General features: G+C 39.5%; 2 pseudogenes, besides 5 other annotated features; one reads left to right on the top strand and one right to left on the bottom strand.

Annotated features, from left to right (window-relative positions):
• Window positions 6,007–6,594: an enhancer, noted in NCBI's record as "OCT4-NANOG-H3K27ac-H3K4me1 hESC enhancer chr16:82173035-82173622 (GRCh37/hg19 assembly coordinates)". NCBI's record gives its function as "activates a minimal SCP1, AML or CMV promoter by ChIP-STARR-seq in primed H9 embryonic stem cells {active_cell/tissue: H9 hESC(primed)}" and the evidence as "EXISTENCE:reporter gene assay evidence [ECO:0000049][PMID:30033119]".
• Window positions 12,364–12,508: an enhancer, noted in NCBI's record as "145 bp 16:82167193 sequence used in MPRA reporter constructs". NCBI's record gives its function as "activates a minimal TATA-containing promoter with rs6564982 allelic activity by MPRAs in C283T melanocytes {active_cell/tissue: C283T}" and the evidence as "EXISTENCE:reporter gene assay evidence [ECO:0000049][PMID:36423637]".
• Window position 12,436: a transcriptional cis regulatory region, noted in NCBI's record as "rs6564982 or 16:82167193 MPRA-significant variant associated with a GWAS melanoma risk locus at 16q23.3". NCBI's record gives its function as "allelic transcriptional activity by MPRAs in C283T melanocytes {active_cell/tissue: C283T}" and the evidence as "EXISTENCE:reporter gene assay evidence [ECO:0000049][PMID:36423637]".
• Window positions 23,159–23,303: an enhancer, noted in NCBI's record as "145 bp 16:82156398 sequence used in MPRA reporter constructs". NCBI's record gives its function as "activates a minimal TATA-containing promoter with rs12922879 allelic activity by MPRAs in UACC903 melanoma cells {active_cell/tissue: UACC903}" and the evidence as "EXISTENCE:reporter gene assay evidence [ECO:0000049][PMID:36423637]".
• Window position 23,231: a transcriptional cis regulatory region, noted in NCBI's record as "rs12922879 or 16:82156398 MPRA-significant variant associated with a GWAS melanoma risk locus at 16q23.3". NCBI's record gives its function as "allelic transcriptional activity by MPRAs in UACC903 melanoma cells {active_cell/tissue: UACC903}" and the evidence as "EXISTENCE:reporter gene assay evidence [ECO:0000049][PMID:36423637]".
• Window positions 23,655–24,180, bottom strand: MTND6P28 (MT-ND6 pseudogene 28; annotated as a pseudogene).
• MTCYBP28 (MT-CYB pseudogene 28) lies at window positions 24,255–25,386 on the top strand (annotated as a pseudogene).

Genomic DNA, 25,659 nt, shown 5'->3' with positions numbered 1-25,659 from the left:
CAGTGGAGGCCCAGCTGGAGATGGCGAGGCTAGAGGAAGAAGACAGGATGTGTCCCTTCTCTCTGCTTCCTCTTCTTTTCCTATTTCTTTGTCACCCTCAAAACACCTGCACCCCAGCAGAGGCTGGTATTCCAGGAAGAGTTGTTAATATGAGTTTAGTCTTCCCAACACTTGCTGCAACAGCCTCATAGCAACTCCTCAGAGACATCACCAGCACCAACCACCCTGTATTCATTCCGACATCTGTCCAGCGCCTTGGCCACAGGGTTCCCCCACCCAACCCAGAGACACTGATATTAGCAGAATAACAACTTAATGTCAGAGGTCTGAGTTTTGGCTCTTTGGGGCCCCTCCCAAGTTTCAAAAATTGAACAATTTCCCTCTCTTCCCTAGGAGTCGCAGCTTCCTGCATGATACCTCAGTGTTTTCCTTTTGCCTCGTTTAGTTCTTTAATACCCAATTAACAATTCTTAATATTTAATTTCCTCTGTTAAAATAAGGGTGGCTTTTAATCTCCTGACTAGATTTTAACTGTTACCGACATCCTAAAGCAATAATATCTGAAATCATGGGTTTGCTAAGCTTAAAATGCTAATTTTTCTAATCTGCATTCAAGCGTATAATGATTAAAGTTGAAATGTTTATCTATCTACAACTTCCTGGAAGTTATCTCATGAATCCAGGAATTAGTATGCACTTTTTAAAAAACACTGCCTCTGTATTTTTTTTTTTTTTAAGTTTGAGTCAACTTTATTTTTTTTAATTTTTTTATTTTTTTATTATACTTTAAGTTTTAGGGTACATGTGCACATTGTGCAGGTTAGTTACATATGTATACATATGCCATGCTAGTGCGCTGCACCCACTAAATCGTCATCTAGCATTAGGTATATCTCCCAATGCTATCCCTCCCCCCTCCCCCCACCCCACCACAGTCCCCAGAGTGTGATGTTCCCCTTCCTGTGTCCATGTGATCTCATTGTTCAATTCCCACCTATGAGTGAGAATATGTGGTGTTTGGTTTTTTGTTCTTGCAATAGTTTACTGAGAATGATGATTTCCAATTTCATCCATGTCCCTACAAAGGACATGAACTCATCATTTTTTATGGCTGCATAGTATTCCATGGTGTATATGTGCCACATTTTCTTAATCCAATCTATCATTGTTGGACATTTGGGTTGGTTCCAAGTCTTTGCTATTGTGAATAATGCCGCAATAAACATACGTGTGCATGTGTCTTTATAGCAACATGATTTATAGTCCTTTGGGTATATACCCAGTAATGGGATGGCTGGGTCAAATGGTATTTCTAGTTCTAGATCCCTGAGGAATCGCCACACTGACTTCCACAATGGTTGAACTAGTTTACAGTCCCACCAACAGTGTAAAAGTGTTCCTATTTCTCCACATCCTCTCCAGCACCTGTTGTTTCCTGACTTTTTAATGATTGCCATTCTAACTGGTGTGAGATGGTATCTCATTGTGGTTTTGATTTGCATTTCTCTGATGGCCACTGATGACGAGCATTTTTTCATGTGTTTTTTGGCTGCATAAATGTCTTCTTTTGAGAAGTGTCTGTTCATGTCCTTCACCCACTTTTTGATGGGGTTGTTTGTTTTTTTCTTGTAAATTTGTTTGAGTTCATTGTAGATTCTGGATATTAGCCCTTTGTCAGATGAGTAGGTTGTGAAAATTTTCTCCCATTCTGTAGGTTGCCTATTCACTCTGATGGTAGTTTCTTTTGCTGTGCAGAAGCTCTTTAGTTTAATTAGATCCCATTTGTCAATTTTGGCTTTTGTTGCCATTGCTTTTGGTGTTTTGGACATGAAGTCCTTGCCCATGCCTATGTCCTGAATGGTAATGCCTAGGTTTTCTTCTAGGGTTTTTATGGTTTTAGGTCTAACGTTTAAATCTTTAATCCATCTTGAATTGATTTTTGTATAAGGTGTAAGGAAGGGATCCAGTTTCAGCTTTCTACATATGGCTAGCCAGTTTTCCCAGCACCATTTATTAAATAGGGAATCCTTTCCCCATTGCTTGTTTTTCTCAGGTTTCTCCAAGATCAGATAGTTGTAGATATGCGGCGTTATTTTCGAGGGCTCTGTTCTGTTCCATTGACCTATATCTCTGTTTTGGTACCAGTACCATGCTGTTTTGGTTACTGTAGCCTTGTAGTATAGTTTGAAGTCAGGTAGCGTGATGCCTCCAGCTTTGTTCTTTTGGCTTAGGATTGCCTTGGTGATGCAGGCTCTTTTTTGGTTCCATATGAACTTGAAAGTAGTTTTTTCCAATTCTGTGAAGAAAGTCATTGGTAGCTTGATGGGGATGGCATTGAATCTGTAAATTACCTTGGGCAGTATGGCCATTTTCACGATATTGATTCTTCCTACCCATGAGCATGGAATGTTCTTCCATTTGTATCCTCTTTTATTTCCTTGAGCAGTGGTTTGTAGTTTTCCTTGAAGAGGTCCTTCGCATCCCTTGTAAGTTGGATTCCTAGGTATTTTATTGTCTTTGAAGCAATTGTGAATGGGAGTTCACTCACGATTTGGCTCTCTGTTTGTCTGTTGTTGGTGTATAAGAATGCTTGTGATTTTTCTACATTGATTTTGTATCTTGAGACTTTGCTGAAGTTGCTTATGAGCTTAAGGAGATTTTGGGCTGAGACAATGGGGTTTTCTAGATATACAATCATGTCATCTGCAAACAGGGACAATTTGACTTCCTCTTTTCCTAATTGAATACCCTTTATTTCCTTCTCCTGCCTAATTGCCCTGGCCAGAACCTCCAACACTATGTTGAATAGGAGTGCTGAGAGAGGGCATCCCTGTCTTGTGCCCGTTTTCAAAGGGAATGCTTCCAGTTTTTGCCCATTCAGTATGATATTGGCTGTGGGTTTGTCATAGCTCTCATTATTTTGAAATACGTCCCATCAATACTTAATTTACTGAGAATTTTTAGCATGAAGGGTTGTTGAATTTTGTCAAAGGCTTTTTCTGCATCTATTGAGATAATCATGTGGTTTTTGTCTTTGGCTCTGTTTATATGCTGGATTACATTTATTGATTTGCGTATATTGAACCAGCCTTGCATCCCAGGGATGAAGCCCACTTGATCATGGTGAATAAGCTTTTTGATGTGCTGCTGGATTCGTTTTGCCAGTATTTTATTGAGGATTTTTGCATCAATGTTCATCAAGGATATTGGTCTAAAATTCTCTTTTTTGGTTGTGTCTCTGCCCGGCTTTGGTATCAGGATGATGCTGGCCTCATAAAATGAGTTAGGGAGGATTCCCTCTTTTTCTATTGATTGGAATAGTTTCAGAAGGAATGGTACCAGTTCCTCCTTGTACCTCTGGTAGAATTCGGCTGTGAATCCGTCTGGTCCTGGACTCTTTTTGGTTGGTAAGCTATTGATTATTGCCACAATTTCAGATCCTGTTATTGGTCTATTCAGAGATTCAACTTCTTCCTGGTTTAGTCTTGGGAGAGTGTATGTGTCGAGGAATTTATCCATTTCTTCTAGATTTTCTAGTTTATTTGCGTAGAGGTGTTTGTAGCATTCTCTGATGGTAGTTTGTATTTCTGTGGGATCGGTGGTGATATCCCCTTTATCATTTTTTATTGTGTCTATTTGATTCTTCTATCTTTTTTTCTTTATTAGTCTTGCTAGTGGTCTATCAATTTTGTTGATCCTTTCAAAAAACCAGCTCCTGGATTCATTAATTTTTTGAAGGGTTTTTTGTGTCTCTATTTCCTTCAGTTCTGCTCTGATTTTAGTTATTTCTTGCCTTCTGCTAGCTTTTGAATGTGTTTGCTCTTGCTTTTCTAGTTCTTTTAATTGTGATGTTAGGGTGTCAATTTTGGATCTTTCCTGCTTTCTCTTGTGGGCATTTAGTGCTATAAATTTCCCTCTACACACTGCTTTGAATGCGTCCCAGAGATTCTGGTATGTTGTGTCTTTGTTCTCATTGGTTTCAAAGAACATCTTTATTTCTGCCTTCATTTTGTTAGGTATCCAGTAGTCATTCAGAAGCAGGATGTTCAGTTTCCATGTAGTTGAGCGGTTTTGAGTGAGATTCTTAATCCTGAGTTCTAGTTTGATTGCACTGTGGTCTGAGAGATAGTTTGTTATAATCTCTGTTCTTTTACATTTGCTGAGGAGAGCTTTACTTCCAAGTATGTGGTCAATTTTGGAATAGGTGTGGTGTGGTGCTGAAAAAAATGTATATTCTGTTGATTTGGGGTGGAGAGTTCTGTAGATGTCTATTAGGTCTGCTTGGTGCAGAGCTGAGTTCAATTCCTGGGTATCCTTGTTGACTTTCTGTCTCGTTGATCTGTCTAATGTTGACAGTGGGGTGTTAAAGTCTCCCATTATTAATGTGTGGGAGTCTAAGTCTCTTTGTAGGTCACTCAGGACTTGCTTTATGAATCTGGGTGCTCCTGTATTGGGTGCATATATATTTAGGATAATTAGCTCTTCTTGTTGAATTGATCCCTTTACCATTATGTAATGGCCTTCTTTGTCTCTTTTGATCTTTGTTGGTTTAAAGTCTGTTTTATCAGAGACTAGGATGGCAACCCCTGCCTTTTTTTGTTTTCCATTTGCTTGGTAGATCTTCCTCCATCCTTTTATTTTGAGCCTATGTGTGTCTCTGCACTTGAGATGGGTTTCCTGAATACAGCACACTGATGGGTCTTGACTCTTTATCCAATTTGCCAGTCTGTGTCTTTTAATTGGAGCATTTAGTCCATTTACATTTAAAGTTAATATTGTTATGTGTGAATTTGATCCTGTCATTATGATGTTAGCTGGTGATTTTGCTCGTTAGTTGATGCAGTTTCTTCCTAGTCTCGATGGTCTTTACATTTTGGCTTGATTTTGCAGCGGTTGTTCCTTTCCATGTTTAGCGCTTCCTTCAGGAGCTCTTGTAGGGCAGGCCTGGTGGTGACAAAATCTCTCAGCATTTGCTTGTCTGTAAAGTATTTTATTTCTCCCTCATTTATGAAGCTTAGTTTGGCTGGATATGAAATTCTGGGTTGAAAATTCTTTTCTTTAAGAATGCTGAATATTGGCCCCCACTCTCTTCTGGCTTGTAGGGTTTCTCCCGAGAGATCCGCTGTTAGTTTGATGGGATTCCCTTTGAGGGTAATCCGACCTTTCTCTCTGGCTGCCCTTAACATTTTTTTCCTTCATTTCAACTTTGGTGAATCTGACAATTATGTGTCTTGGAGTTGCTCTTCTCGAGGAGTATCTTTGTGGCGTTCTCTGTATTTCCTGAAACTGAACGTTGGCCTGCCTTGCTAGATTGGGGAAGTTCTCCTGGATAATATCCTGCAGAGTGTTTTCCAACTTGGTTCCATTCTCCCCATCACTTTCAGGTACACCAATCAGATGTAGATTTGGTCTTTTCACATAGTCCCATATTTCTTGGAGGCTTTGCTCATTTCTTTTTATTCTTTTTTCTCTAAACTTCCCTTCTCGCTTCATTTCATTCATTTCATCTTCCATCACTGATACCCTTTCTTCCAGTTGATCGCATCAGCTCCTGAGGCTTCTGCATTCGTCACGTAGTTCTCGAGCCTTGGTTTTCAGCTCCATCAGCTCCTTTAAGCACTTCTCTGTATTGGTTATTCTAGTTATACATTCTTCTAAATTTTTTTCAAAGTTTTCAACCTCTTTGCCTTTGGTTTGAATGTCCTCCCGTAGCTCAGAGTAATTTGATCGTCTGAAGCCTTCTTCTCTCAGCTCGTCAAAGTCATTCTCCATCCAGCTTTGTTCCGTTGCTGGTGAGGAACTGCGTTCCTTTGGAGGAGGAGAGGCGCTCTGCGTTTTAGAGTTTCCAGTTTTTCTGTTCTGTTTTTTCCCCATCTTTGTGGTTTTATCTACTTTTGGTCTTTGATGATGGTGATGTACAGATGGGTTTTTGGTGTGGATGTCCTTTCTGTTTGTTAGTTTTCCTTCTAACAGACAGGACCCTCAGCTGCAGGTCTGTTGGAATACCCTGCCGTGTGAGGTGTCAGTGTGCCCCTGCTGGGGGGTGCCTCCCAGTTAGGCTGCTCGGGGGTCAGGGGTCAGGGACCCACTTGAGGAGGCAGTCTGCCCGTTCTCAGATCTCCAGCTGCGTGCTGGGAGAACCACTGCTCTCTTCAAAGCTGTCAGACAGGGACATTTAAGTCTGCAGAGGTTACTGCTGTCTTTTTGTTTGTCTGTGCCCTGCCCCCAGAGGTGGAGCCTACAGAGGCAGGCAGGCCTCCTTGAGCTGTGGTGGGCTCCACCCAGTTCGAGCTTCCGGGCTGCTTTGTTTACCTAAGCAAGCCTGGGCAATGGCGGGCGCCCCTCCCCCAGCCTCGCTGCCGCCTTGCAGTTTGATCTCAGACTGCTGTGCTAGCAATCAGCGAGACTCCGTGGGCGTAGGACCCTCCGAGCCAGGTGTGTGATATAATCTCGTGGTGCGCCGTTTTTTAAGCCGGTCCGAAAAGGTTAATATTCGGGTGGGAGTGACCCGATTTTCCAGGTGCGTCCGTCACCCCTTTCTTTGACTCAGAAAGGGAACTCCCTGACCCCTTGCGCTTCCCAAGTGAGGCAATGCCTCGCCCTGCTTCGGCTCGCGCACCGTGCGCGCACCCATTGACCTGCGCCCACTGCCTGGCACTCCCTAGTGACATGAACCTGGTACCTCAGATGGAAATGCAGAAATCACCCGTCTTCTGCTTTGCTCACGCTGGGAGCTGTAGACCGGAGCTGTTCCTATTCGGCCATCTTCGTTTGAGTCCGCCTCTGTATTTTAATGCCCTTTGACTTGGTTGCCAAGTCATCCCGTTCATCCCTTTAGTTGCCAAGTTACTGTCCTCTAGGGGAGGGCCCCTATCTTATTTCATTTGCTCCTGTGTCTAGCAAGAAATATGGCCTATATTGAAGCTTTTAGTAAATATTTCTTCAGTAAGTGAGTGAATGGCAGTTAGAATGATTTAGAAACCAACTGGCTCACAAAGTCTATTTAAACTATAGTACTGAACAAAGACCAAAGGAGAAAAGCAAAGGCTATCGATTCTGAGCTTGCTATAGCAAAGGAGTCGGCCACCATCACTAGCGTTTGCGCAGAGACTCAAAGGCAGGCAGAGGAATGCAAAAGCTTTAAGACCCACGGAAGAGAAGGCTCAGGTGTGCTGATTGGACTGTTGGCGTGAAGAAGCTGGAGGTAAGCTAACTACGTGCAGGGCACCCTGTGTGATAGGTAAGAGGTACATGTTTGACTTTCTTTAGTTGGTCCTAAGTTGAAAGCAAGGGCAAAATTAGGGAAGCTTCAGTTATTAAGTCCTGGCCATCTGGGGCCGATCGTTACAGAAATTATTTACCTTCCAAGATAGCAATCTGGCTTCCTGCAAGTGTGGTTTATATAGCAGGCTGGATTCCTGGGTTGCTTACTGTAAATAGGGGTTGGTTTCTTGGGCAGGTTGCTGCAGGTGACGGGTCAACATTCTGTTTTTATATATGGTCTGGTCATTGTATATTCAGTTTCTCAGTCCTCAGCTTTATTTCTAATCATAACATGCAATGTTTGATCGTGTCTGTATGGAAATGTGCACCCAACTTAATAGGAAAACGCCACCAGTGGGATCAGGAATGTTTGTGGCTCTAGCCGTCAGCAGAGGTGCCTATTCTGGAGGCAAGTACTTCAGCAGTTAGCACCACAAAGACAAAGCCCACAGATCAAGGGAACTTTCACTATCCCAGATCCTGAGGGAAAAAACTGAACACCACACGGATATAAAATTCAGTTTAACAGATAACCATTGTTTCACGCCGACATACAACCATCCAATCACTGACATTCCCATTGGTTGATGAGCTTAATCCAAGTGGGCTTTCTGGGGAAAGAGAGATGATGTAGCTTTAATGGTAGTTTCAAGAAAATCCCTAGAGACCTCTCACTTTTTAATATGTCTTTTATAAAGGTATCAGTTTTCCCCCCTTGCCTGCTGAGACACATTTTCGCAGTCTTGGCCTCAGAGAACACGCAGATGCCTTATCATCTGAGTCCAGGGTGTCTTGGCAGCCTCTTAAAGAGAGACTGGAGTCTGACCTCCCATAGAAATAGGCTTGCATAAGCAGTTTATTAAAATTATTTGATGGTTCTGTAAGTTCCTGCAGGGCTGTAAGCCCTACTACAGATGGTTTACATTTTAATTTTAATCGTTATGGAAGCCATTAACCCAGAATCTTACCTTGTTCAGCTCTGTTTGGAAAAAAAAATCATTTGCACAGAGAGGTCACTGCTTTTCAAACCAGCAGCTCAATGTTATATACCAGAGTTTCCTTCCAATATATTTTGCTTGTTTTTTTTGGATGGCTTTGTGTTTTCATTTTCCCCAGGGAAAAGATGCACTGGGTTTCAGGATACTCAGGAAGTAAGAGTCCTGGACTCTTACTTCGTGCAAAGTTGGACTCATTCATGCAAAGTTGCACTGATCTCTGTAAGATATATTTGATCTGGATGGTATCTCTTGCTAATATCTCTTTCATCAGCATTGTCTGGATGGGGAGAGCAGGGGTGACCCTACATAACTGCAAAATTGCGGCAGGAACTAACAAGACCATTGAGGTCATGAAGATGACAATCTGCCAAATATTAGCAGACTGCATGTTACTGTGACATCCCTCCCTCCTCTCCCGATCATGGCAGGTTCTCACCTCCACCACTCTTCTCTGACCTCTGCTCTGATCCCTGTCCCTGATGGATAGTTCATCATGTATAACACCTGTATCAAACAAACGCTCTCCCTGAACCGAATCCTTCCTGCTTTCACCTCAGAGCTTCATTTAACCTCACTAGGATGGCCACAAGTCAAACATAGAGAATGACGCAGGAACAGGTCTGCAGTTCAAACCCTAGAGCGCATTCTGTAGTCCATAGGAACAGAAAACGAGCTATGTTAGGAGGGTGTGGCACAAAGCCACACTTGGCTATCTGAGCTCCTATCAGGCATTCAGTCAAGAAGTTAGCAGATAATGACGGGAACAGGACATTATCTGCAGGAAAATAAAGCAAGGTGGAAGCAGCTGCTCCGATGGGAGCTCCCCAAAAGAGTAACCATTGTGACAACCGTGCAGTGGAGACCTGTCTGTAAATGCCAGGAACATTTGCGACGTCATTCACCGTAACGATAATAACAACTCAATAATAAATACTGAGTCTTGACACTGGGCCAGGCACCGAATTATGGGGGGGGGATGTAAAGTATTACCATGATTTTACCCATGAAGAAACAGAGGCACAGAGACATTTGGTACACCCAATGTCACACAGCTTTTAAGTGATAGAATCAGGATTTGAACCCAGATCAACTGATTACAAAGCCAGTGCTCTGTCTCTTATGTCATGCTGTTCCTGACCAAGCCAAGGGTCGGGCTACTTATTCTCGCAGCCCAATAACGAGATGCAGATGAACTGGGAGAGAATCAAGTTTTTATTTCTGTAACCAGTTACAGGGAGAAGGCCTTGAAATTATCCCCAGACCAACTCAAAACTACAAAGTTTTCCAGAGCTTGTATACCTTCTAAGCTATATGTCTACATGTAAGTGTGCATTTGTGCATTCATCTAAAGACATAAGTGATTAACTTCTTTTCATCTATAACTAAGGTCTGAGTCTTGAAGCTCTTCCTCTGGAACCTGAGTAAATTTACTTAACCTAAATGGGTCCAGGTGCTGGGGTCAATACCTTTGTCTTGTCTCCTGCTAAATCATGGAGGTTTGGGGAGTTTCTTTAGTACCCAATAAGGCTTGTTTGTGGAGGCCTGGGGAGTTTCTTTGGACCCCCCAATAAAACTTATTTACTCCTAAACGGGTCCCGTTAAGAATTCCTTCATTATCCTGTCATGATTTAAGGCCCAGGAAAGGCCGAGGCAAAGCTCTTGATGGGCTTTTGTGACATTCCAGCCTTTGCAGAAGGGCACTGACTCTCTCAGCTGTTAATATTTGATGGAACCACTCGGTCAGTGCTGAAACCGTTGTTATGGAAGCCTGAGTTAGTGAAACCTGGCCTGCCACAACGTGGTGAAGAAAGCAAAAGAAAATAACTGGGAAAGAGGTATAAAACCTAGCCCCATAAAACGTTTTTTTGTTCGTTTGTTTGTTTTTTCCAAACAGAATCTTTCAGAATCCTGTTGTTCTGGCAGGTATTTTTTAATATTTCCTTCTTACAAATTTCCTTTTTACAGATGATATGCATTATATTGACATTAACAATCAATCTTAGACACAAGTGATTGTTTTTATAAATAGGATCTCCTCAATATTAGTGATCCTATATTAAGAAAGATAGTACATGTGAACCAATGGTAACCAAAAAGAATTTGAAAAGCAATAATTTAGTGGGAGCTCACTTGGAATATAACTCTATGTCATCATGTATTTATTTAAGTCATATTCTATGAAATATCCTATTTGAAAGCAAGGACACCCTTTGGTTGCAACCCCAAGTTACTCATGCAGTACTTCGTAAAAAAGAGGTGTTGGCTGGGCGTGGCGCCTGTAATCCCAACACTTTGGGAGGCCAAGGCAGGCAGATCACTTGAGATCAGGAGTTTGAGATCAGACTGGCCAACATGGTGAAACCCTGTCTCTACTAAAAATACGAAAATTAGCCAGAGCAAGATTCCATCGAAAAAAAAAAAAAAAAAGTATGTGTTTAACAGATAATAGTGAATTGAATGAAAATATCATTCTATTTACCCAACCTCATATAAATGTTAAATGTTTCCAGTGAGTCTCTTCTGTAAATTCATTTAACAAATATTGGACTCCTCAGAGGTTTTGCATGTTTCACTGTTTCCCAAGGTAATCCTGTCTGACAGCATGTATTCACAAACTCAACCTCTTCAGTTGCTCAAGGCTCAAGAGTAATGGAGTAGAATGTCAGTATTTTCCCCGGAGACCAGCGTTATGAAATTCATGGTTTGGGATGTACCGCTCCCTTCTCGTTGAATCCTGGCACCAGACTCGATTCCCTTCTAACACGCAGAAGGCGCGAGGCAGTTGAGGTGGTTTCTTCCCAGAAATTAACTCTACAGTTCATTTGATCTGATAAGATCTAGCTAGGGAAATTTCCAGGCAGAATGTTAAACATGACAGATTGCTTTCTCTGGCTTCCTATGGTAAAATACAAGATAGAAAGGAATTGTTCCATTTTTTAGCAGAATTTCAAGAAACATTGAGGCCCCATGGTGGTCTTTCTATACTAGCAATCAGAAAGTTCTCAAAGGCAGAAAATTCAAAGATCAAATCCAGCATGTTGTCAGCAAAATTTGATCTAAGGATAAATATCGAGGTAAATCCTCAAATGAAGATGCAGCTGTTAAACCATTTTTTGAGATGTCAGAAAGATTTCAGAATGTGCCTCCTAGACCCTCCTTGCTATGTAAAAGAGATTTCATGAATCTTAAGGGCATTGTCATTAATTTGAGGGATAGTTTGTTATGCAGCAATACATAACTAAAACACCAACTTTTAAACGTTTGCCAATCTTATGTGTACAAGGTGTAGCATCTCAATGTTACTTCATTTGCATTTATCTGACACTAATAAGATTGAGAAGCTTTACATGAATCCCTGTGAACTCCCCCACCGCCAGAATTGAATGACAAAGTTTGGAGGGGAAAAAAGTTTCTCTGAATTAGCTAAGATAATTCAGAGAAATAACAATAAATCAACAACAGGGGATAAACTATAGTGCAGTTACTGCTGGAGAGAAATTTCAAGGGAAAAAAATAATTCCAGAATGTTAGGTTGCCCTCTGGCATTGGTGCACCTTATACAAGATAGTGGTAACGTTGTACCTGCTTTCAAGAGAACACTTGTTCAACGGATTATGGCCTCTATCTCCTTGATTCTAGGAAAATTGGTCTCTGGATTGTTTGAAAGTACAGCTCAAAATGGCCAAACGCACAAGTCTGAGGTTGCTTCTGTCACCACCAGCAAAAGTGGCAGCAGTACCTGAGAGCCTCCTACAGAAATCTAACAGGAAACCACAGGATCTTAAGTTTCCTTGGTGAAAGGAAGTGAGGTTGAAATCTAGCCTCATGATGAGGGAGCGAAAGCTGGGGTATTAAGGCTGGGGACGGCAGAGGGCTTAAAACACCTTTCTCCAGCCTGGGCAACATGGTGAAACCCCATCTCCACCAAAAAGTTAGCTAGGCATGGTGGTGCACGCCTGTAGTCCCAGCTACCCAGGAGGCTGAGGTGAGCCTGGGAAGGTCAGGCTGCAGTGAGCCGTGATTGAGCCACTGCACTCCAACCTGGACAAGAGTGAGACCCTCTGTCAAAACAAAAAACAAAACAAAACAGAACATAACAAACAAACAAAAAACATCCTCCAGCACTCATGGATTAGCAGCTAATCATTTTTAAATCTGAAATTGGATATTTCCAGTATTTATACCTTGGAGCAGTAGAGCTAAACTAAGAAATGCCCGTGCTGGGGCCTGGCGCGGTGGCTCATGCCTGTAATCCCAGCACTTTGGGAGGCCGAGGCGGGTGGATCACAAGCTCGGGAGATCGAGACCATCCTGGCTAACACGGTGAAACCCTGTCTCTACTAAACATACAAAAAATTAGCCGGGCGTCGTGGGTGCCTGTAGTCCCAGCTACCGGGGAGGCTGAAGCAGCAGAATGGCGTGAACCCGGGAGGCGGAGCTTGCAGTGAGCCGAGATTGTGCCACTGCACTCCAGCCTGGGCGACAGAGCGAGACTCTGTCTCAAAAAAAAAAAAAAAAAAGAAAGAAAGAAATGCCTGTGCTTACTTCGCTTCCCAGATAAACAGATTACAAAAAAAAAAAAAAAACGAGAAAGCCACTACATATATACCAATAATTTCAAATGTGGGAGGAAGTAATAATTATGAAACTAGTAAGAGCTCTCTCTCGAATATGAATTATGCATATTGGAAACTCATTGGTTTTAATACATAAAGTGCCAGAATTAGTAGTCTTATTCCAAAAATTCTAATTCATATTAAATTAATTCTTAGAATAAAAATTCAAATACAAACTAACTCATTTTCCGTTTCCTTGATGAAGAGTATTTTTATTCTTAAAAAGAAAAAGAAGAGAAAGAAAAGGAAAAGAGGAGGAAGTATGGAAAGATTTTACTTCATTGAAAAGGAGCCAAGGAAGAAATGGGCTTCAAGTTGAAGATTTTAACAGTAACCCTTTTGAAAATATCAGAAGCCGGGGGAGGTGGCTCACACCTGTAATCCCAGAACTTTGGGAGGCCGAGGCAGGTGGATCGCCTGAGTTTGGGAGTTTGAGACCAGCCTGACCAACATGGTGAAACCCCATCTCTACTAAAAATACAAAAATTAGCCGGGCATGGTGGCACATGCCTGTAATCCCAGCTACTCCGGAGGCTGAGTCAGGAGAATCGCTTGAACCTGGGAGGCGGAGGTTGTGGTGAGCTGAGATTACGCCATTGCACTGCAGCCTGGGCAACAAGAGCAAAACTCTGTCTCAAAAAAAAAATAAAAATAAATAAATAAAATAAAAATATCGGGACCAAATCTTTACCTTATAGGTCTCTTTTATCTTAAAGCTCTGTCAACTGGCAAAACAAATTATGTTGTTTTTAGTCAGCATTGAAGTATTTATTTTGCATGCAATAAGATGCACCCATTTTAAGTCCCAGGTTTTATGAGTTTTCACAAATGCATTCACCTGTGTAGCTATTCCCATAATCAAGACATAGAATGTTTCCACAATTCCTGGATTTCCCTCTTGCCCCTCTGTTGCCAATTCCAGAGCCTCTATACTAGGCACCCACTGATCTGCTTCTATTATGTTAGCTTTGCCTATTCTAAAATTTTATATAAATGAAATCTTACGGTATGTAGTTTTTTCTACCTGTCTTCTTTTACTCAGCATGATGTTTTCCTATTTATCCATGTTGTTGCATGTTTCTGGAATTTTACTCTTTTTATTGCTGATTAGTATTCTATACCACCACTGTGCAAAATGTATTTTGTCCCTTTATCTGTTGATGGTCATTTGGTTGTTCCCAGTTTCCTTCTATTATAAATAAAATGGTATAGACATCTGTATATAAGTGCTTGTGAAAATATATTTTCATTTTTCTTGGATTAGGATCTAGAAGTGCAATTCTTGGATCTTATGATGTGTACTTATTTGTATAAGAAACAAACTTTTCCAAAGCAAGTATGCCCTACTAGACTCCCATCCTCAATATATGAGAGTTCTGCTTGCTCCTCATCCTCATCAGCAATTGGTGTTGTCAGCTATATTTGATATTAGCTATTCCAGTTGTACTTCATAGTGGTTTAATTTGCATTTCCCTGGTGAACAATACTGTTGAATGAACATCTTATCCTACACTCATTGACTATTCTGTATCTTCTATTGTAAAGTGTCTGTTCAAATATTTGCCAATCTTAAAAAATCCAATTGTCTGCCTTCTTGTTAATTTTCAAAGTATTATTTAAATATTTTGATAGTTAAGTCTTTTCAGACATGTATTTCTAAACATTTTTTCCCTAGATCATAGCTTGCCTTTTCGTAATTGCAATGCTATCTCTCCAAAGGCAGAAAGTTTTAATTTGATGAAGCCTGATTTGTCAGGATTTTATATGATGTATATTTTGTTTCTTATCTTTGCCCACCTCAAGGTTATGACAGTTTTCTTCTAAAAAGTGTATAGGTTTAACTTTTACATTTATGTCTATACTTTATTTAGAGTTTATTTATGTTTATGGTGTAAGTAAAGGGCTGAGATTCCTGGTTTTGTTTTGTTTTGTTTTCATACAAATATTCAGTTGCTCTAGTGCTACTGGTTAAAACACCACACTTTTCCCTACAGACTATCCTTGGTACTGATTACGCTGCTGTGGATTTATTTCTGGACACTCTGTTCTGCTCCATTTATCCATATGTCCATTCTTACACTAATATTTACCTATCTTGATGACTGCAGCTTTATATTAAGTCTTGAACTACAGTAGTGTATTTATCCAACTTTGTCCTTTCTTTTCAAAATTGTTTTGAGTGCTCTAGGTAATTTACAATTTCATATATGTGTGTGTGTATGTGTATATACGCACACATATATACACACGTGTGTGTATATATACACATATATACACGTGTGTATATATGCACATATATACATATATACACACGTGTGTGTATATGCACATATATACATATACACACACGTGTGTGTATATGCACATTTATATACACGTGTGTGTATACGCACATATATACACGTGTGTGTATACACACATATATACACGTGTGTGTATACACATATATACACGTGTGTGTGTATACACATATATACACGTGTGTATATACACACGCATGTGTATATATACACACATATATACACGTGTGTATATATACACATATATATACACATATATATACACACGCATGTGTATATATACACATATATACACAGAGTGATAACTTCTGATTATCACAAGGACAGCACCAAGCTATTCGTGAGAGAATCCACCTCCATGACCCAAACACCCCCCACCAGGCCCAATCTCAAACACTGGAAATTACACGTCAACATGAGATTTGGAGGGGACAAATATCCAAACTATATCAGTGGCTGGGATCCAGAACAGTGTTAATCAGTGGAGTATGGCTTTTTTCCCTTGATTCAGGGAAATTGACACCTAGATTTTTAGAAATTAACAAATTTACAAGATTACTTTTATCTAATGTGACCCTGGCACCTGAGAATCTTTGGCACTGAAATCAGAAGCATTGTTGATTAGAAGTGAGGTTGAAATCTGCTGTGGTGGCGGAGGCCACAGGGATCAATAACAAGAATGGTACCAGTCTGGGATTGGATAGTCAGTTGCTGAGCAGATGTCCTCACAGAAGTATTTTTGTGTAAGGTTGTGATGGCCTTTGTGCAAGGTCGTGGTTTTGGCAGAGTGTTTGTGATAGTTTTATCAGGCACTTAGTCAATGAAAACCCTCCCTTCATGACCTTTCCCAGTTCTGTCAGGATTTTCTTTTTTTTTTTTTATTTTTTGAGACAGAGTGTTGCTCTTTTGCCCAGACTGGAGTGTAGTGGCATGATCTTGGCTCACTGCAACCTCCGCCTCCTGGGTTCAAGCAATTCTCCTGCCTCAGCCTCTAGAGTAGCTGGGATTACAGGTGCACACAACCAGGCCCGGCTAATTTTTGTGTTTTTAGTAGAGATGGGGTTTCACCATGTTGGTCAGGCTGGTCTCGAACTCCTCACCTCATGATCCACCTGCCTCGGCCTCCCGAAGTTCTGGGAATACAGCGTGAGCCACCATGCTCGGCAGGATTTTCTTAACACAAGTGACTCCAATGATTCTGACAACTTTAACATTCCCCCCTTTTTAATCAAGGTATTTCTTTAAAAGCATCGCTGATCAATCATCCTGTGGTTAGATTTTGATTTTCTCTTGGTGTTGGGATGGACCTTTCCTGGGTTGTTGGTATGATCCCACATTGGAGGGAGTGATTGGCAGTTAGGGTTCAGTGTCAAAACCCTTTAGCCACATTTGAGAAACAAGAAAGGTTTGAAGGAAGTGGTTCTCAGGCTAAGTCTATCTGGAGCCCACTATTAAGTTTAATTTTCTCTGTTCCACACTCTTTTGCAATCACCTCAAAGTGCTGGGCCAGCAGTATTTTTTTAAGGAGGTGTACTTACGCAAAAGTTTAACATGTAACAAATGCAAAGTTTAAAAAGAGAAAATACAAAATTAATAGTAATATGTACATGTTGGAGTTTGGTGGCACAATCACAGCTCACTGCAGCCTCCACCTTTGCGGGCTCACCTCAGCCTTCCAGGTAGTTGGGACTACAGGTGAACACCACCAGGCCCAGCTAACTTTTTTTGTATTTTTTGTAGAGACAGGGTTTCACCATGTTATCCAGGCTGGAGAAGGGTGTTTTTAAGCCCTCTGCCATCCCCAGCCTTAATACCCCAGCTTTCTCTGCCTCATCATGAGGCTAGAAGATTTCAACCTCACTTTCTTTCACCAGCAAGACTTAAGATCCAGTGGTTTCCTGTTAGATTCCTGCTGGGTACTCTCAGATACTGCTGCCACTTTTGCTGGTGGTGACAGAAGCAACCTCAGACTTGTGCATTTGGCCATTTTGAGCTGTACTTTCAAAAAATCCAGAGGCCACATTTTCTAGAATCAAGGGGATAGAGGCCATAATCTGTTGAACAAGTCTTCTCTTGAAAGCAGGTACAATGTTGCCACTATCTTGTGTAAGGTTCACCAGTGCCAGCAGGCAACCTAACATTGTGGGATTATTTTCTTCCTTTGATATTTCTTTCCAGCAGTGTCTGCACTATAGTTTATCCCCTGTTGCTGATTTCCTATTATTTCTCTGAATTATCCTGGCTAATTCAGAGAAACATTTTTCCCCTCCAAACTTTGTCATTCAATTATAGGAGGTGAGGGGAATTCACAGGGATTCATGGAAAGCTTCTTAAATTCATTAGCAGTCAGATAAAAGCAAATGAAGTAATATTGAGATCCCATACCTTGCACACATAAAATTGGCAAACATTTAAAAGTTGGTATTTTGGTTATGTATTGCTGCATAACAAACTACCCCCCAAATTAATGACAACATAAGGTATTCACCTAAGTAAACACCTTAAAATTAAATATATGGGTATTTTATCAATAACTCAGAAGATTTATTCAACCAACAATATTAAATTAGCCATATGTATTACACAAAAAAATACCCTTCTATCTTTCAGAGGGGCTTATAGTTTTATTTTATTTTGTTTTTATTATTTTATTTTATTTTTTGAGATGGGGTCTCTGTCTGTCACCCAGGCTGGAGTGCAGTGGCATGATCTTGGCTCACTGCAGCCTCCGCCTCCTGGGTTTAAGTGATTCTCCTGCCTCAGCCTCCTGAATACCTGGGATTACAGGCATACACTACCATACCCAGCTAATTTTTGTATTTGCAGTAGAGACAGCGTTTCACCATGTTGGCCAGGCTGGTTTCAAACTCCTGACCTCAGGTGATCTGCCCACCTCAGCCTCCCAAAGTGCTGGGATTACAGGCATGAGCCACCAAATCCATCCAGGGGCTTATAGTTTTATAACCTTAAGTCAGCTAGCAGGGACAAATATAAAACTATCTGACCAGTAAATCCAGGCAAAAATGTATGTGGACAATTTTAAAGACATTTCTATTTTTTTAATCAATAATTTTAAAATCAGCTTATTCGTTAAAAATTTGCTTCAGCCACATGAACTGAAAGCTATTTGGGTTAATTACTATATATTTTTAAAATTTTTAGGAACACTCATTTGTTTGAACCTATCTGAATAGAATTCCTTAAGGGATTCCTGGCCAACTACACCAGATTTTACCGTGTAAACACACATACAACATAATAAATGTACATATGCATAAACACACCTAAGTGTATGTAGGTACACATACACACACACAAGGATCTTAGAGCTCTTTAATTGTATCATTTTAGTCATGAAATAGTAATATAAACACACTAGTTTGTAAAAGATAATTGAATCAAAATTATATTTCTGACAAAATGGGACAAGTTCATATGGCCAAATTTTCATTGCCCTGATAGGTAATCTGATGAAGGCTGTGGACCAAATTTTTGAGTAAAGCAGCTTGCATAGCAGGTTGACTTCTTAAAAAGACATCTTTTTTACCCTTTTATTCCTTCTTCTCAGTTTCAAATGAGTTTATAGTTAAATTATTAATGTTTGTGTTAATATTTTAAGTAGGACTGCCTGAATTCCATAAAAAATAAAATTTCCCTGTGGCCTTGAATTTTTAGTAACAAATCTATCTTGTTTGCTCCTCTGGTTTTTTTTGACTAGTCAGTGCAGGTGAGGATGCAATTAAACAGGATGTTTTGCTTTTTCTGACTCCTGTACAGCACACAAAGCAACTTTGTATCAAACAGCAATACCATGTATTATTACTCCAAGCTCAAGATTTTGACCAGTCTGATCTGAGAGCCTTTTAAGAACATTTATCCGGTTCTTTTTCTCTTAGACTATCAATCCTTCAATTAACAGTTCCATCACCCTAAGCAATTGTTAGTGAGGCAAACCCACATTTACATTTCCAAAGGGTATCTAGGTTGTTGGTTGCCATGGAGCTGTTAGAATTTTCAAATACATTAATATGGAATCCCTTTAAGACTTTTTAACAAATATCATGGCTGAAGTGCCATAAGCAGTGAGTTTTATCTCAACACCAGCAGAAAAGTCAACAGTTTCAAAGTAGGAGGGGGGTAAAAAAAGAAAGAACTTGGAAGGCTGAGGCAAGCGGATGGTTTGAGCTCAGGAGTTTGAGACAAGACGGGGAATAGGGTGAAATCCCATCTCCACAAAAAATGCAAAAGTTAGCCAGGTATGGCTGCACACACCTGTAGTCCTCTCTACTGGGGAGACTGAGGTGGGAGGATTGCTTGAGCCTGGGAGGTCAAGGCTGCAGTGATATATGTTCATCACACCACTGTACTCCAACCTGGGTGACAAAGTGAGACCTTGTCTCAAAAAAACAAAAACAAACAAACAAAAACTTAGAACGTTCTACATGTTAAATGTAAAGTCAGTTTCTTTTTCCTCAGAGTTTCTGATTTGTGTGTCAGGGGGGTTACATAATAGGCATATATATATGTATAGGCTACATAAGATATTTTGATACAGACATACAATGCATGGTAATCACATCAGGGTAAATAGACTGTCCAACACCTCAAATATTTATCCTTTCTTTGTGTTACAAACAATCCGAATATACTCTTTTAGTTATTTTTAAATGTACAATAAATTATTCTTGACTATAGATATCCTGTTGTACCATCAAATACTAGATCTCATTCATTCAAACTATATTCTTGCTAGCATTGACTATCCCCCTCCCCCCACCACATTACAGTTACCAGACTCGATAACCATCATCGTACTCTCTATCTCCATGAGTTTAATTGTTTTGTTTAGCAGCCACAAATAAGTGAGAACATGTAAAGTTTGCCTTTCTGTGCCTGGCTTATTTCACCTAACATAATGACCTTCCAATTCCATCCATGTTGTTGCAAATGACAGAATCCGATTCTTTTCTATTCTGATTCTTTTCTATGGCTGAATAGTACTCCATTGTGTACATGTATCATATTTTCTTTACCCATTTGTGTGTTGATGGACACTTAGGTTGCTTCCAAATCTTGGCTATTCTGACTCGTGCTTCAATAGATATTGGATTGCAGATATCTCTTTGATATACTGATTTCATTTCTTTTGCATATATACCTAGTAGCTCTATTTTTAGTTTTTTTGAGGAATCTCCAAACTGTTCTCCATAGTGGTTGTACTAATTTACATTCCCACCAACAGTGTACAATGGTTCCCTTTTCTCTAAATCCTCACCAACATTTGTTATTGCCTGTCTTTTGGATAAAAATAATTTTAACTGGGATGAAATGATACCTCAATGTAGTTTTGATTTGCACTTCTCTAATGATCAGTGAGGTTGAGTGCCTCTTTATATGTCTGTTTGCCATTTCTATAACTTCTTTTGAGAAATTTCTATTCAGATCTTCTCCCCATTTTTAATCAAATTATCAGATTTTTTTCTTTTGAGTTGTTTGAGCTCCTTATAAATTCTGGTTATTAATTCCCTGTCAAATGCGTAGTTTGCAAATTTTTTTTCATTCTGTTCGTTGTCTTTTCACTTGTTCATTGTATTCTTTGCTGTGCAGAAGCTTTTTCACTTGATGTGATTTGTCCGTTTTTCTTTGATTTCCTGTGCTTATGGGGTATTGCTCAAGAAATGTTTGCCCAGTCCAATGTCTTGAAAGATTTTTGTAAAGTTTTCTTGTAGTAGTTTTATAGTTTGAGGTCATGGTTTTAAGTATTTAATCCATTTTTATTTGATTTTTGTATATGTGGGAGACAGGAGTCTAGTTTCATTCTTCTGCATATAGATATCCAGTTTTCCTGGCACCGTTTATTGAAGAGATTGTTTTTTCCCCAATGTATGTTATTGGTATCTTTGTCAAAAATGAGCTCACTGTAGATGTACAGATTTATTTCTGGGTTCTCTAACCTGTTCCACCGGTCTGTGTGTCTGTTTTTATGCCAGTACTATGTTGTTTTGGTTACTGTAGCTCTGTAGTATAATTTGAAGAGAGATAATATGATTACTCCAGTTTGGTTCTTTTTACTCAGGATAGCTTTGGCTATTCTGAGTCTTGTGGTTCCATATACATTTTAGGATTTTTTTCGGTTTCTATGAAGAATGTCATTGGTATTTAGATAGAGATTGCATTGAATCTGTAGATTGCTCTGTGTACTATGGACTTTTTAACAACATTTATTCTTGCAATCCATGAACATGGAATAACTTTTTTTATCCTCTTTGATTTCTTTCGTTGATGTTTTATAATTTTAATTGTAGATATGTTTCACTTCTTTGATTAAATTTATTCCTAGGTATTTAATTTTATTTGTAGCTATTATAAATGAGATTACTTTCTTGATTTCCTTTTCAGATCATTTGTTCTTCGCATACAGAGATACTACTAATTTTTTATGTGGATTTTGCATCCTCTACTTCTACTGAATTTATTGCTTCCAATAGTTTTTGTGTGGAATCTTTAGGTTTTTCCAAACATAAGATTATATCATCTGTAAACAAGAATAATTTTTTTTCCAATTTGGATCCCCTTTATTTCTTTGTCCTGTCTGATTGCTCCAGCTGAAATTTCCAGTATTATGTTGAACAACAGTGATGAAAGTGGGCATCGTTGCCTTGTTCCAGATCTGAGGAAAGGCTTTCAGTTTTTCCCCATTCAGTATGATACCAGCTGTGGATCTGTGATATATGGTTTTTATTGAGTTGAGGTATGTTTCTTCTGTACCCAGTTTTTTTGAGGGTTTTTATCAAAAAGGATGTTGAATTTTATCAAGTAGTTTTTCCGCATCAATTGTAATAGTCATATGGTTTTTGTCCTTCATTCTGTTGATATAATGTATCATATTGATTGATTTGCATATGTTAAACAAACCTTGCTTCCGTGGGATAAATCCCACTTGGTCATGATAAATGATCTTTTTAATGTGTGGTTGAATTTGGTTTGCTAGTAGTTAGTCTAGAATTTTTATATCAATGTTCATCAGGGATATATTAGCTTGTAGTTTCTTTCTTTTTTTTTTTTTTTTTTTTTTGATATGTCTTTGTCTGGTTTTGGTATTACGGTAATACTGACCTCACAGAAGGAGTTTTTAAGCATTCCCTGCTCCTCTATTTTTCACAATAATTTGAGTAGGATTGGTAATAGTTCTTCTTTAAATATTTGGTAAAATTCTGCAGTGAAACCATTGGTTTCTGGGCTTTTTTTTTTTTTTTTGCTGGTAGACTTTTTATTACATCTTCAATCTCATTAGCTGTTATTGGTTTGTTCAGGTTAAGGAGTTCTTCATGGTTCAATCTCAGTAGGTTGTATGTGTCGAGGAATTTATCCATTTCTTCTAGATTTTCTAATTTATTGACATACAATTGCTCATAGTAGCCTTTAATGTTGCTTTGAATTTCTGTGGTATCAGTTGTAACATCTCCATTTTCATCTCCCATTTTATTTATTTGGATTTTCTCTCTTTTTCCTTAGGTAATCAGGATAAAGTTTTGTCTATTTTATCTTTTCCAAAAACCAACTTTTTATTTCATTGATCTTTCATAGTTTTTTTTCCTGTTTCAATTTTGTTTATTTCTACTCTGTTCTTTATTATTTCTTTCTTCTACCAATTTTGGGTTTAATTTGCTCTTGCTTTTCTAATTCTTTAAAAGGTTGTTTATTTGAAGTTTTTCTAGTTTTTTGATGTAGCCACTTATCAAAAGAACCTATCACCTTCCCACTTAGTACTGCTTTCACTGTATCGGATAGGTTTTGGCATGTTGTGTTTCCATTTTAATTTGTTTCACCTTAGGCCTCTTACTAGCAATGGAACTCAATCCTTAAAACCAATAACCTTAAATTAAGGTACCCACTAAAGACATTCAACTTCTCCAGTATACTAGGTTTTTGTTTGTTTGTTTGTTCGTTTTTTTTGAGACAGAGTCTCGCTCTGTCGCCGAGGCTGGAATGCAGTGGTGCGATCTCGGCTCACTGCAAGCTCCGCCTCCCAGGTTCACGCCATTCTCCTGCCTCAGCCTCCCGAGTAGCTGGGATGACAGGCACCGGCCACCACGACTGGCTAATTTTTTTGTATTTTTAGTAGAGACAGTGTTTCACCGTGTTAGCCAGGATGGTCTTGATCTCCTGACCTCATGATCCGCCCACCTCAGCCTCCCAAAGTGCTGGGATTACAGGCGGGAGCCACCACGCCCGGCCCAATATACTAGGTTTTTATTCAATCACAATTCACCGTACAATTCACCCACTCAAGCCTATTCACAAGCCAAAATATGGGCTCACTTCTTCTAGACCTAATTTTACTAGAAAAGTCTACGCCAAAGACCATTTCACAAACCCAAGTTTCAGCCTCCATTACCGTATCTACTCAAAAAGTCCTAATTAAACTCTTTCTCTCTTTTTTATTCCATCCCTTCTAACCTACTCTTAATTAATCTATTACCCCAAGTAATTTCAGTTGCAACATAAATACTAACAAATAATGATCAACCAGCAACTACCACCAATCAACACCCATAACTGTACAAGGCAGCCACACCCACAGAATCCTCATACAATAACCCCACTCCCTCACCCTCAAAAATCATTCAACTCTCTATGCTATTAAAATCAGTCATAATTACCACCCCATCATACTCAACTATTCACCGAACCAACACCAACTCTATTAATAACCCTAATAATAAGGCCCCTCAAATGTCAATATTTGACTCTCATGTTTCAGGGTATTCCCCAATAGCCATCGCCGCAGTATAACCAAAAACAACCATCATACTGCCCAAATAAATAAATAAATAAAAACTATTAACCCCACGAAATCTCCGCCAAAATTCAACACAATACCACAACCCACAGCACCACTAATAATTAACCCTAGACCTCCATAAATAGGAGAAGGTTTTGAAGAAAAACCTACAAACCCTGTAACCAAAAGTACACTCAATAAAAATAATGCATATGCCATTATTCCCACATGGACTATAACCGTGACTAATGACATGAAAACTCATCGTTGTACTTCAACTATAAGAACACTAATGACCAATACCAGCTAAACACACCCGCTAAGAAAAATTATTAATTACTCATTTATTGATCTTCCCACACCCTCTAACATTTCTACATGATGAAACTTTGGCTCACTTCTTGGTACCTGCCTAATTCTCCAGATCATTACGGGATTACTTTTGGCCACGCACTATACATCAGACAGCTCAACTGCCTTCTCTTCAGTTGCCCATATCAGCCGAGATGTAAACTCCTGCTGAATGGTCCGCTATTTTCATGCTAACGGCACTTCAATATTTTTCATCTGCCTCTTCTTACACATTGGCCGAGGCTTATACTATGGATCATTTATATTCCTAGGAACCTGAAATATTGGCATTATCCTCCAATTCACAACTATAGCAACAGCATTTATAGGCTGTGTTCTCCCATGAGGCCAAATATTATTCTGAGGCGCTGCAGTAATTACAAATCTACCATCAGCCATCCCATATATTGGAACTGACCTTATACAATGAATCTGAGGCGGATTCTCAGTTGACCAAGCCACCCTTACATGATTTTTGCCTTCCATTTCATCTTACCCTTCATCATTACAGCTCTAGCAACTATTCGCCTTTTATTTTTACATAAAACAGGATCTAATAATCCTGCAGGGGTTTCATCAGACCCTGACAAAATCACTTTCCATCCCTACTATACAACCAAAGATAATCTAGTTTTCATTTTTCTCTTCCTCTTTCTAATAACTCTAGCACTATTTTTGCCTGACCTTCTGAACGACCCAGATAATTACACTTTAGCCAACCCCCTCAACACCCCACCACACATTAAGCCAGAGTGATACTTTGTGTTTGCATACGCAATCTTACGATCCATCCCTAACAAACTGGGAGGCGTACTGGCCCTTGTATTCTCCATTCTCATTCTAGCAGCTATTCCCATTCTTCACATGTCTAAACAACCAAGCACAGTATTCAGCCATTCAGTCAATGCCAATTCTGAATGTTAGTCGCTGACCTGTTTACCCTCAGATGAATCGGAGGGCAGCCAGTCGAATGCCCTTTTATTGCCATCGGAAACACAGCATCTGTTATGTACTTCTCTACCATCCTCACCCTCATACCACTCACTACCTTAACTGAAAATAAACTACTTAAATGAAAATGTCCTTGTAGTATAATTCAATACTCTGGTCTTGTAAACCAGAAATGGAGAATTCCCTCCCCAGGACACTCAGGGAAAAAGCATTCCCATTTCATTGTCCACACCCAAAGCTGAAATTCTAATTAAACTGTTCCCTGAACTTTTCTCAGCACACACTTCAACTACCATGCCAGTCCTAATCAACTAGCAGTAACACATTAGTGCTTTTATGTACTTCATGCATTACTCTTAGTCCCCATGGATAATATATAGTACTATAATGGCTTA

Source organism: Homo sapiens, chromosome 16 (assembly GCF_000001405.40).
Source record: "Homo sapiens chromosome 16, GRCh38.p14 Primary Assembly".
Taxonomy (NCBI): domain Eukaryota; kingdom Metazoa; phylum Chordata; class Mammalia; order Primates; family Hominidae; genus Homo; species Homo sapiens.
This window is presented reverse-complemented; position numbering and strand designations above follow the sequence as displayed.